Below are 13569 nucleotides of genomic sequence, written 5' to 3'. Positions count from 1 at the left end.
GAACCATGTAAGGCCTATTGTTTGAAGTGGCTGCTATGTCTCTGAGGTATCTTTAGTTATAGGTCTTACCCCAATTATTTTCTAGCCATTTATATGTTCAGGAAACCTTGTCATTTATTTTGTAGTTTTTTCAGTTAGGAATTTGCGGACTTTATTCACGTAGAGACTTTTCTTGTGTGTATGTCCCTCTATTTCTTGACCAAAGACAATTACATCTAGAGTCTTGATCGCATTCAAGTTCTATATTTTTGTCAAGACTTCCTCATAGGTGACATTATGCTTCCTGAGGAGATACTTGATGCCTAGTTGTCTCTTTATGTTGATTAGTAGTAATTGTTGGTCACTGCCTAGATACATTCTTTCTTTCTTTCACTTCCTCCCTTCCTTTTTTTTTTTTTTTGAGACGGAGTTTCACTCTTGTTGTGCAGGCTAGAGTGCAGTGGCGTCATCTCAGCTCACTGCAACCTCCACCTCCCGGGTTCAAGAGATTCTCCTGACTCAGCCTCCCAAGTACCTGGGATTACAAGCGCCCGCCACCACACCCAGCTAATTTTTGTATTTTTAGTAGAGATGGGGTTTCACCATGTTGGCCAGGCTTGTCTTGAATTCCTGACCTCAGGTGATCCACCCTCCTTGGCCTTCCAGAGTGCTGGGATTACATGGGTGAGCCACCGTGCCCAGCCCATTATTTCTTTAAGAGTTATAAAGTGATATGATTCTAACTTCCTACTTTCTTTGTTGACTAGGCATGTGTAATTCTTAAGTGTTTGATGCCATATTTTAGATATTCTTCTCTATTTTGTTTTTGTTTCTTTCCCTGCTTATAAATATTTAATGAGTTTCTTATAACTTTTGTATGGTTTTCCATCCTGTAGCTTTTTGACCATTTGTTGATAGAAACAAAACTGCAGAACACTTCCTCGTAATTATCTCTTGGTGCCCATGAGTCAGAGCTTCTCCAGTTGAATGTTTAAGTCATACGTTAGGTTTACTTTCAACATTACTTGGTGTTGCCAAATTTTTCTCCATTTTTCCCAAGTCCTTGTCAGTACCTAATGTCAAGATTTCTTTTTGCCAACCATTTGTGTAAAAACCATAATCTTGTTATTTTAAATTTTATTTTCACTTTAACCAGTACATTTTGTATTTTTACTGGCCACTCAGATATTGTCTTCTACAAATTGCTTTTTAATGCACCTTAACCATTTTGCCATTGGTATTTTATCTTTTACATAGCGATTTCTAGAGTTCCTCTGTATATCTAGAGAACCTAATTGATTTAGAGGGTGTAGACATTTCCTTTTCACCTTTTTGTTTGTTTAAACATATTTATTTTTCCTTTTGCTGATGAAAGAAAATATTGTGTGATGGTTAAGAGTACAGACTGCGGAGTTAGATTTCTTGAATTTAAATCACAGCTCTAGAAGTACCCAGCTGTAAAACCCTAATCTAATTAAGTTCATGTGTTTGTGCTTAAAAATTCTCATATAAAAAATGGAGTAAAAAAAAAAGTGTCTACTTCCTAGGGATATTGTGAAGTCCTAATGAGATATGACATATAAGTCCTTATGGGCAGTGCCTCATGTATCTAAGTACCCACTTTAAGTTAGCCATTATTGTTTTCTTCTAATATAAAGCTTTATGTAGTTGAATTTATTTATCTTTCCCTGGAAAGACCCTTTGAGCCATGTTTCTACTCTTTCCAGGTTTTCTGCTGTGCAAGGGTGGAAAGCTGTAGTACCTTTTCTCACTCATCATAAGGGTCAGAGCTGACATTCCTATAACAAAATACAGGTTAACGAGATTTATTTAATCTAAGTTTTACCTGAAACACTCTTAACAGAAATGAAAACCCAAGGGCCCGGGGAAACTCTGTTTTTATATGTAGGTTTGATGAAGAAGAGACCACTGTGTAGAAATGTGATTGGACAAAAGGACATGACCTAAGTTCTTCCTATGTCCTTCACTTTAAAGTACCCAGCATGTCAAGGTACATACTTGGAGGTATTCTATTCTGAGCCCCATCAATACAATCATTTAGGGAAATTGTATGCCACCATTTAATTGGTAAATATGAAAACTGAAGTGAAAGTTTCTTGGGATATATTGTTAAATGAAAAGCAAAATAAATATCATTTCCATATTATGCTTACAACTGTATAAAATTATGTATCAAAAGTACAAGGATGTACAAGTATTGTATTATAAAAAGTTTGGCCTTATCTTTGTCCTCAGTTCCAGCTAGGTAACCTCTAAAACTTGAAAATTTCCCAAGTGATAGTAGTATCTAGACCTCTTGTATTACATCTGGGTTTATATTAATGAGCTGAGTCAGGATGGGGTCCAGTCACCAGAAAGACTAACCATGTAATTCAAGGACTGGGGCTTTGAGCCCAGTAATGTCATCCCAACCTCTGAGGAGTGGAAGGATGCTGGAGATTGAGTTCATGTGCCCTGCGATTCAGTCAATCATGCCTAGATAATGCAATCCACAAAAAAACTATGGACGGCGAAATTTGGGTGAGGTTCTTTGGTTTCAAAGGTGTAGGGAGGGTAATGCATCACGATTCCATGGGGAGAAGACGTGGAAGCTCTGATTCAGTATCCTCCTAGTTCTAGCCCTATGTGTCTCTTCATTGAGCTGCTTCTGAATCGTGTCCTTTACAATAAAATTATAATCATAAGTTTAGTGCTATTTTTGAGCCATATAAGTCATTCTAGCAAGTTGTCAAACCTGTTGGGGGCATGGGAGCCCCAAAATTTGTAGCCAATTTGTCACAAATGCAGGTGGCTTGTGGACCCTCAAACTTGTGACTGGTGTTTGAAGTAGAGTCTTGTTGGGGACTATGCCCTTAAATCGTGGAGTCTACACCAACTCTGGATAGTTAGTGGCAGTATTATATTGCAGTACTGTAACAACCATTTTGAAAAACTTTTTGGCCATGCCTACCAAAGTTTATCCTATAAATATTCTATAACCTAGAAATTTAATTCCTAGTTATGTATCTCAGATAAATGACTACTATATCCAACAAATCACATGCCTAGAATTGTTTTTAATAGCTTATTCCTAATAGATTAACATGGAAAGCAACCCAACTATTCAACAGTAGAATTGGCAAAAATTAGGATATGGTTTTAGAATGGAATACTATATAGCAACAAAAATGATCGAAATACAAACACAATGTTGAATGAAAGAAGCCAGACACAAAAGAATGCATACTGTATACTTATATTTTTATGAAGTGCAAAAGCAGGTAAAAATACTATCTGGTGATATCTCATAATTGACTTGCCAAGTACAGGACTGAGAGACTTGATTGCTGAAAATGTTCCATCTCTTTATTGGGATGGTGTAAATATGAGGGTATGCCTATGTTTAAAAAAATCTGCAAATGATACACTTAAAATGTATGTACTTTTTGTGTGTAAGTTATTTGTCCATTTAAAAAGTTAAAGAAAAAGGAATTTCTCAAATGGAAAAATTTTGTGGGAGTGAGGTTTTAAGGAATTTTTAGTGTTTTTTAACGTATGAATGTGAGTAATATAAAAACATTTTACTAAGTCAAAGTCAATGTAATAAATACACCAGGATCTCCACTCAGTGTCACTTCATACTGGAGAGTCACAAATGTTCATAGTTGAATATGATGAATATTACAAAGCTTGATTATGGTGCCTGAGAGACGCACAGGGGTATGGTGGGAGGCTTGTGTTAGCAAGTCTCCCACTTACTAGTTATGTGATATTGGACAAAGGGCCATAAAAGCTCCTCAGTAACTTAGGATAAAAATTCTATGACCATCAAACACACAGAAAGTGCCTGTAAGTGTAACCTTTAAAGTTATTGTCACTGGACATTATTACATACAAATACCAGATGAAAAAGACAACCTTTTTATTTCTGGACTTCTAAACTTCCTAGCATTTATTATTCTTTGGTTTAAGAACTGTGAAATTGTGAAAGCCACAGTAATAATAGGAACACAGACAGAAGAGGTCTCTTAGAGCAGGAACTGTCAACTCAGGGTTAAGCTTCATCCTCTCTGAAAATACAACAGTCCTAGAGAAGGGAACCTTGAGCTGCGGCTGCTGTACTTGAAGCATGTCCCCTGTATGCTCATTTACAAATCAATTTAACAGAATCCCCAGAGGGGAGGTGAGGGAAAACCTAGGCCTTAGATAGAAATGCAAAGGTTCTTCAGTCTGAAATGAAGAAAAACATATTCATTTGGCTTTAAATAAGGCCATGGGCTGAGTTTGAAATTGAATTTTAGCCTAGAGTTTGGGTAAGCGTGTCAATAGCTAGTGTATCATACTTCATTTTTGTTTGGGTAGTTGATTAATAGATTTAGAAAATTCTTTTTTTTTAAGGTGTAATTTTTTTTATTATTATTATTATTATACTTTAAGTTTTAGGGTACATGTGCACAATGTGCAGGTTAGTTACGTATGTATACATGTGCCATGCTGGTGTGCTGCACCCATTAACTCGTCATTTAGCATTAGGTATATCTCCTAATGCTATCCCTCCCTGCCCCCCCACCCCACAACAGTCCCCAGAGTGTGATGTTCCCCTTCCTGTGTCCATGTGTTCTCATTGTTCAATTCCCATCTATGAGTGAGAACACGCAGTGCTTGGTTTTTTGTCCTTGCGATAGTTTACTGAGAATGATGATTTCCAATTTCATCCATGTCCCTACAAAGGACATGAACTCATCATTTTTTATGGCTGCATAGTATTCCATGGTGTATATGTGCCAGCCGCTGCAAAATCATGCCAAAATGTAAAGACCATCGAGACGAGGAAGAAACTGCATCAACTAACGAGCAAAATAACCAGCTAACATCATAATGACAGGATCAAATTCACACGTAACAATATTAACTTTCAATGTAAATGGACTAAATGCTCCAATTAAAAGACACAGACTGGCAAATTGGATAAAGAGTCAAGACCCATCAGTGTGCTGTATTCAGGAAACCCATCTCACATGCAGAGACACACATAGGCTCAAAATAAAAGCATGGAGGAAGATCTACCAAGCAAATGGAAAACAAAAAAAGGCAGGGGTTGCAATCCTAGTCTCTGATAAAACAGACTTTAAACCAACAAAGATCAAAAGAGACAAAGAAGGCCATTACATAATGGTAAAGGGATCAATTCAACAAGAAGAGCTAACTATCCTAAATATATATGCACCCAATACAGGAGCACCCAGATTCATAAAGCAAGTCCTGAGTGACCTACAAAGAGACTTAGACTCCCACACAATAATAATGGGAGACTTTAACACCCCACTGTCAACATTAGACAGATCAATGAGACAGAAAGTTAACAAGGATACCCAGGAATTGAACTCAGCTCTGCACCAAGCGGACCTAATAGACATCTACAGACCTCTCCACCCCAAATCAACAGAATATACATTTTTTTCAGCACCATACCACACCTATTCTGAAAATTCTATCTTTCAAAATATCACAATTTAGAAACTGAATAAATATATCCTAAAATACCATGCAGATTTTACCATTTCTTTTGTTTTTAATTCAGTGCTGCACAGGTTAGGTGAAATATATCTGAAGTTTCTATGTATTACATTCTTCGTTTGGTGTCTACTAATGTATTGAAACCTTTACATTTTACTTATATTTTAAAAATAATTTTCTCAGATCAGTATTTTCTAAAACGTATGCATTGAACAATGATGGTAAATTAAAAAACAAAAATAAAAACCTTGGTTATATTAAGTCAGAAATCATGCATTTAAAACATATTTTTCTTGTACAGCATCTCAGAGATTGTAATATTCTGTTGTGTGCTGTTAATGTCTAGGCTGTAGTACCTCGACTTTCTACACCTTATCTGACCCAAGAACCCCTTTTTTTCCTGCCTACCACAAATATTGGCATTGTGTGAGGCAGATTTTGTAGAAAAATTCTTGACGATAATGTGCATACACAAAATAAGATGTTACTGTTTTGACAGATCAGACCCATTGGTTCCTGGAGAGAAAAACAATATACATGACTTTCTTTTTATATAAAATATTTGATTATAATAGTAAATAAAGATAAGTTTAGACAAAATGATCAAACTATCTGTGTGTGTGTCCCCTGATTTGACAGTAGAGGCTACTTTTAGTTATACGGCATGTGGTATCATTTAATTAACTATTTATAACAGAACTGGTTATTATTTAGATTTTGCCCTTTCATAATTCCTCATTGTAAATGGTTGTAGATATATACGTGTGAATGATTTATTGTTATTAATAAAGATATTAAAACATTTTGTTGTACTAGATTTCTAAAAGGATAAAAGATAATTACTTTTGATGGTGTATCTATAGTTTGTGAAATCCATTTTAAAAGGTAATTCAGTTAAGTTTTTTTTTAACTATTCTGGGAAATAAAATTGTCTCTGCAGAATATACCACTTTGCATTTTGAAATCTGATTTTATAGCCACAGTGATCAGAACATCATTCAATTCAAACAAAATAACTTAATCTAAAGACTATATTACATTTGCACGAAGTGACTAGTCCCAAAATACCTCCTCTACAAATTTGGATTGAATGTGGTCACTGCCTCCCCAGTGTTACTAAAAAAAACCCAAAATAATACCCTGATCACCAAAATATGATAAAAACTCAGCAGTATGTATTTTCGGAGAGCATCTTTCTTTGATATACATACACAGTTCATTTTTATTTCAAAGTATCATTATAAGGAGACTTCAATATTCCTTAATGGGTTATAGGCATAATTCACCTTATCCCGATAGAAACACATCCCGTTTGTGCACAGAATGTACACAAGAGAACATGATAAGGCATCTACCTGTAAGTCAATGACCTCTTTCTGCTTTTAATTTTTCCGTCAGCTGGTGGCTGAAGGGAAAATTACCCTTCAGTGTTCTCTGTGGTTGTTTTTATAGATGTGATAGAATGATCCTAGAGAACAGAATGAGGGCTATTGAAGCAGCGCAGATTCACACATTTGTGTGGCCCTTGGCTTTCTCAAGCTCTGTGCATTGTTAATTTTGGTTCTGGGGAAATAATAAAAGATTGAGGAAGGTTTAGAAGCTTAGCTGGGGTGAGGGACTTGGCAGTATATGTAGAGAAGAATCCTGTACTATGTCCTGTGGCCCTTCATACCGCTATTCTACAGCAGGCCCAACCTAAGGAAGAGATACTGTAATTTTAAATTAAGTTTTAATGTTTGGATTAAGACACTTAACTGATTTTAGGAATGATCTTAGGTTGCATATTCAGACTTGAAAAGATCAAAGAATGTACTGAAAATAATGAAATGTTCATCGATGGCAAATGGATAAATACATGTGTTCATCAATGGCAAATGGATAAATACATGTAGTGCATCCTTACAAAGGAATACTACTGAGCAATAAAAAGGAACAAGCTGCTGATGCATGTAACAACATGGATGAATCTGAGCACCATTGTATTGAATGAAAGATTCCAGACACAAATCACCACATACTCTATGATAACATTTATGTGAAATGGCAAAATACTGAGACAGAAATGGAAAAATACATAGAAAGCAGGCCAGTGGTTTCAGGGTCTGGGAGGAGGAGGCAGAGAATGACCACAGAGGGGTAAGAGGGAACTTGTCCAGATAGTGGAAAAGGTCTGTGTGACAATTATCCTCACTCTATGCATTTGTCACATTTCACTTGTACACTTAATACTGGTGATTTTTATTGTATGTAAATTATTATACAATACCTAAATAAAATCAGATAAAAAGAAAATATTATAGAATTCACTAGTGAAGGAGAGAGGTGATCCTATAATTTGTTTTTTGAGACAGAGTCTCACTCTGTCACCCACGCTGGAATGGAGTGGCATGATCTCAGCTCACTGCAATCTGGGTTCAAGCGATTCTCCTGCCTCAGCCTCCCGAATACCTGGGATTACAAGCACCTGCCACCATGCCTGGCTAATTTTTTTGTACTTTGTTAGTAAAGACAAGGTTTCACCATGCTGGCCAGGCTGGTCTCCAACTCCTGACCTCAAGAGATCCACCCACCTCGGCCTTCCCAAAGTGCTGGGATTATAGGCATGAGCTATCGTGCCTGGCCTATAATTTGTTAATACCTAAAAGTGACCAGAAAAACAATGAGGAGAGGCTGAGCTTCATCCAGAATTTGGGCAAGGATTAATGTTTGTTAGATAATAAATTTAAAGGGAAGGTGGAAAAGAAAAATGATTACGCCCATGAGTTCTACTCCTTTATCACTGTAACCATGTAAATCACCTGGTCCAGTGATTAGCCTATGGAAAGCATTATAATAAATGCTAACTGCTACTATTTTTATTGTTACTATTGTTATTATTCAGAACCGTATGTTAACAGTACCTAGACAACCTAATAGGAGTTGTGAATACAAAGAAGTCAGAAACTTTCTCCTTCCTTCCAGTGAAGAGAGCCTGTGAATTAACTGATTCCAGTGACCTGAGAAACACAAAAGGAGATGAAATTGATCAATGGCTTGTTTAGGGGAATTAATGAACTATAATATGTCACAGAAGGTGAATATTAGAGAGTCATTTCTGACACATTCTGAGCACTTTTGAGTGTATCAAATAATTTCTGATCTATCTCAATCTATTATGAAGACTTACTTATAAGTCCTTTTATCTCATCATTTGAAAAATGGGAAATGTGCCAACAATGAGTATAGTGTTTGAGGCTGATATTAACCTTGATCTTCACATGTGCTACAACACAGAACATATAATAATAAATAGCCAGCATCTATTTAATGCGCCCAGACTGACTATCCTAAGTAAATTTCATGAATTATCACATTTAAGCTTCATCACAACTTTAATAGACAAGGATAGTGAAAGAAGTTACATGAAAGAATTAAGATCAAGGGCTGGGTGTGGTGGCTCAAGCCTGTACTCCCAGCTACTTGGGAGGCTCAAGTGGGAGGGCTGCTTGAACCCAAGAGTTTGAGCCTACAGTGAGCTATGATCTCACCACTGCACTCCAGCCAGAGCAACCATAGGACAAAAGCCTGGTGAAGGGACACTAAACTTTATCAGAGCTGGATTGCTGACATTATGTTTTTCTTGTTGTTTGTCCTGTCCTGGAAATAAAATGGAGGGAGATAACTGGTATCTGGCCCCAAATCCCTTGGCACCCCCCAATAAGTCCACAGGTTAACATTCTATACTAGATGGTCAACAAGTGATTGCTGAATGACTTAATTAACATCTCCATATGTTTCAATTATTGGAAAGCAGGACTTGTATATTATAGAGTCTAAAAGATACCAAACATAGCATAAGGTTCATGTTGGATAATGGTGTATAATTTATTTTCATGGCTTCCCAGCTGACCAGTCTATTTTGAAATCCATTTTTGGGCAATGGTATAGACATACTTCTGTGTTAGATTGCTGGCATTAGCAATAACTTGAATTTTGATAAATCTTTAATTATATTTAAGGGTTATTAAACTGAGACAACTGTTGCTTTTAAATGAGAAAAACAGTTAGTATGCAGACTCTAATGGGTAAATTTATCATTTCCTTATCATACTGAGCTTTGGGCTTAATGTTATCTATTTTCCAAGAAAGTAAAAATGTTGTTTCTTAGAATAAAAAGGTTCTTTATAATGTGAGCAGTAGATTGAAGCTGTACAGATTGGTTCTTTAATGAAATAGGCAAAATTCCAATGGAACTGACAAGCTTTATTTCTATTTGTTGTATTTCTTTTTTCTCATTACAGATGGACCCGATTCAGAAAGCTGTAATAAACCATACATTCGGGGTTCCTCTTCCCCACCGAAGAAAGCAAATCATATCATGCAACATTTGCCAGTTGAGATTTAATTCTGATGTAAGTTTATCATTTAGTGTTCACTTAAAAAAAAAAAATACATTTTGCTGTTCTAATCTTGCAGGAGAAAAGATTTCTTAAGACATTTTCTCCAGTAACTGAGCATGTCAAAATTCAAAGATAACATTTTAACTCACTATGTGCTTTAATTTTGGAGTTTATTATGTTATGTTTGGTTGTTTACTACAGAAAATTCACATGTAAACAAGCTTAAATACTTGCAGTTTAATATTTTTATTTATTTATTTATTTTTTAGTCTTTTGGGAATGGTACATGTAGATAATACACTTTGCCTTTGGGAACAGTAAAACTTTCGACCAATGGAACTTTTAATAGGTTACACTCTGAAATAAGATAGGTACCAAATCATATTTTAAGATCAAGATTTTGAGTTTATAAACTTTTTTTGCCTGGAATGGAGGCCTCAAATTCCATATTACCGCTATGTCCTTAATTATATTTGTGCTAAAGCACTCAAGTTGTCCTAGGAGTATTGGTATTTTAACAGGGGTCCTACAGTCCTAGAACCACTCAAGCCCCAAAAGACTTCAGTGGAGAACATGTAGGAGGGAAACATTTGTGGACCTGACTGGTGGTTCACAAGTTATTCAGGGAGTTATTCACACCTTTTCTACCATTTCTAAGGACTAGGGTGGACTCTGGATCCATCACAGTGATATTAATTTTGATCTGTGGCCAATGGGAAAAAAAAATGTATGTCTTCTCTTCCCCGCTAAACCTGCTTTGATATGAAGTTAAGTCCTAAGAGTTCCAGAAGAGACAGGCAACGTTGGTCTAGAAGGAATAGGGATTGGAGAGCATTCACACTCTAGGCAAACAGAAGGCTCCATCCTATCGAGGTACCATTTTCTCGTCCTAAGTTGATACACTTTGTGGAGATGACCAAACAGATCTGAATTCTGGACAACGTTAAGCCTTCCAGTATTTAACCTCTCCAGTCAAGTAGGACTCTTAGATGCTCTGGTGACGAAGATAGGATGCAAGATAATTGAGTATAGGAAATAGATGAGGCATAAACAAAATAGTTTATTCCTCTTTGAAGAGAACATTACATTTTATTTTGCTTTCGTCTTAAGAACTCATACTTACTAATGCAATCATCAGGTAATTTTACAATATCCATTGACTTAAAAAAGAGAAGAGTGGATTGCCTGCATAACACTTTAGTCCATTTGGCCAGCTAAAACAAAGTACCATAAACTGAGTAGATTATAAACAACAGAAATTTATTTCTCACAGTTCCGGAGGCTGAGAAGTCCAAGATCAAGGTGCTGACAAATTCACTGTCTGGTAAGGGCCTGCTTTCTGGTTCCCACATGGCATATTTTCACTGTATTTTCACATGGTGGAAGGGATAAAGGAGCTCCCTTGAAGCTATTTTATAAGGGCACCAATCTCATTCACAAGGGCTCTGCCCTCATGACTTAATCATCTCCCAAAAGGTTCCACCTGCTACTACCATCAACTTGGGGGTCAGAATCTCAACATATGAATTTTCCAGGTATACAAATAATCAGACCATACCAGCACTTAAGTGGTATTTGCTGCTAAAAACCAAAAAGAATATACCAAACATATAATATTTTATGTGAAGGGATTTTTTGTTTTTTAATGCTGCGCACTTTGAGGGATAGAACTTTACCACAGAATTGCTTAATTTTAACAATAAAGTATTCTCAAGTGATGACTGTAATAATCTCTTCAAGCTGTTGTTAAAAAAGAGTCCTCTTAATACATAAATAAGAGTTCTAAACTCAACAGCTTCAACTTTGATCATTTTTAAACACTCAGCAAACAATTATATAGTTTTATAATTATTATTTTAAGTGGCTTTTTAGTTCCTCTTTTCCTAAACTGTATTTATATTTCACTTAGAAACTGATCAGATGATTTAAAAGTCTCCCAGGAGCCATGTTGTCAGCTTCTTATATTTAATGAGACTACTTAAAATATCTCCTCCTGCCTATGATTTCACTGTCAATATTCTCTTTATTAAGCACACTTCTTTTAAACTAGGAATTAGAAAGAAATTTCAAGGTCACTGAACCCAATCTCCTACTAAGTGCAAGAATTTCACCTCTTACATCCAGGCAAGGTCTTTTGCTTGATTATTCCCAGTGATGAGTCACTTACCATTTCCAGACAGTGGTTCTATTTTTGGAGTGTTTCTAATTCTGTAGATTGATGTCAAATTCATGATTGGACACTTTAGAAATATTGTCAGACATGCTTTAGAAAACACATACATATTTTTATATATAATTTTTAACAATAATATAAATTGATATGACATAACACATGGAATATGAACATACTTTTCAAAAATGTATTCTTATTTCATTTCCATGGTGAGAGAGTAGCAATTTATTTTGTTACTGAAGTTTCAAAGTAGAATGGGCATCAATATGTATTTATTAGGGACAACTGGCTTCTCATTCTCACAACTTTGCTTTCAGGTCTGTGTGGCATGTCGTAAAAGGAACATGGCCAAGGTATTTGGAGATATGGACTAATCACTTTGGGTCATAATTAAACAATTGCAGGCTTGACCATTTACCAGATGATTATTGTATTAGTCTTCTATTGCTGCTAAAATAAATCACCACAAACTCAGTGGCCTGAAACAACACAAATATGCAGGCATATCTCAGCTCACTTTGTGTCTCTGCATCACATTTTGGTTCTTCTTTCAATATTTCAAACTTTTCTATTTTTACTATATCTGTTATGGTGATCTGTGACCTTTGATGTTACTATTGTGATTGTTTTGGGGCACTGTGAATTCCACCCATGTAAGATGGTAAATTTAATTAATAAACGTTGTGTGTGTTCTGATTGTTCCACCATCTGGACATTCCCCAATCTCCCACCCTCTCTTTGGACCTTCCTATTTCCTGAGACACAACACTGAAATTAGGCCAATTTAAAACCCTACAATGGCCAGTTGCTGGCAAGCTGGCCAAATAGAAACAGCTCCAGTCTGCAGCTCCCAGTGAGATCAACGCAGAAGGCAGGTGATTTCTGCATTTCCAACTGAGGTACCCAGTTCATCTCATTGGGACTGGTTGGACAGTGGGTGCTGCCCACAGAGGGCGAGCAGAAGCAGGGTGGGGTGTCACCTTACCTGGGAAGCACAAGGGGTTGGGGAGCTCCCTCTCCTAGCCAAGGGAAGCTGTGAGGGACTGTGCCATGAGGAATTGTGCGCTCCAGCCCAGATACTGTGCTTTTCCCATGGTCTTTGCAACCCGCAGACCAGGATATTCCCTAGGGTACCTACACCACCAGGGCCCTAAGTTTCCAGCACAAAACTGGGTGGCTGTTTGGACAGAAACCAAGCTACGTGAAGGAGTTTTCTTTTTCATACCCCAGTGGCTTCTGGAACACCAGCAAGACAGAACCATTCACTCCCCCGGAAAGGGGCTGAAGTCAGAGAACCAAGTGGTCTGGCTCGGGGGTCCCACCCCCTCAGAGCCCAGCAGGCTAAGATCCACGGGCTTGAAATTCACGCTGTCAGCATGGCAGTCTGAGGTCGACCTGGGATGCTCCAGCTTGGTTGGGGGAGGGGTGTCCACCATTGCTGAAGCTTGAGTAGGAGGTATACCCTCACAGTGTAAACAAAGCCACCAGGAAGATCGAACTGAGCGGAGCCCACTGAAGCTC

General features: G+C 37.0%; 1 protein-coding gene and 1 long non-coding RNA gene across 20 annotated transcripts in view; one reads left to right on the top strand and one right to left on the bottom strand.

The window, feature by feature from the left end:
- Positions 1-13569, top strand: part of ZNF385D (zinc finger protein 385D) — a 960546-nt gene that overhangs the window by 798303 nt on the left and 148674 nt on the right. For 18 of the 19 annotated variants that reach the window (NM_024697.3, XM_017007192.2, XM_017007191.2 and 15 more), the window contains one exon: positions 9777-9887. In NM_024697.3, the coding sequence (NP_078973.1) occupies positions 9777-9887 (111 nt within the window). Of the gene's footprint in view, positions 1-9776; positions 9888-13569 lie in introns of those variants that run through there. The other variant, XM_017007201.2, reaches the window with a different exon arrangement.
- Positions 1-13569, bottom strand: part of ZNF385D-AS1 (ZNF385D antisense RNA 1) — a 37171-nt gene that overhangs the window by 5499 nt on the left and 18103 nt on the right. The window lies entirely within an intron of this gene.

This window comes from Homo sapiens, chromosome 3, assembly GCF_000001405.40.
Source record: "Homo sapiens chromosome 3, GRCh38.p14 Primary Assembly".
NCBI classification, from domain to species: Eukaryota; Metazoa; Chordata; class Mammalia; order Primates; family Hominidae; genus Homo; species Homo sapiens.
This window is presented reverse-complemented; position numbering and strand designations above follow the sequence as displayed.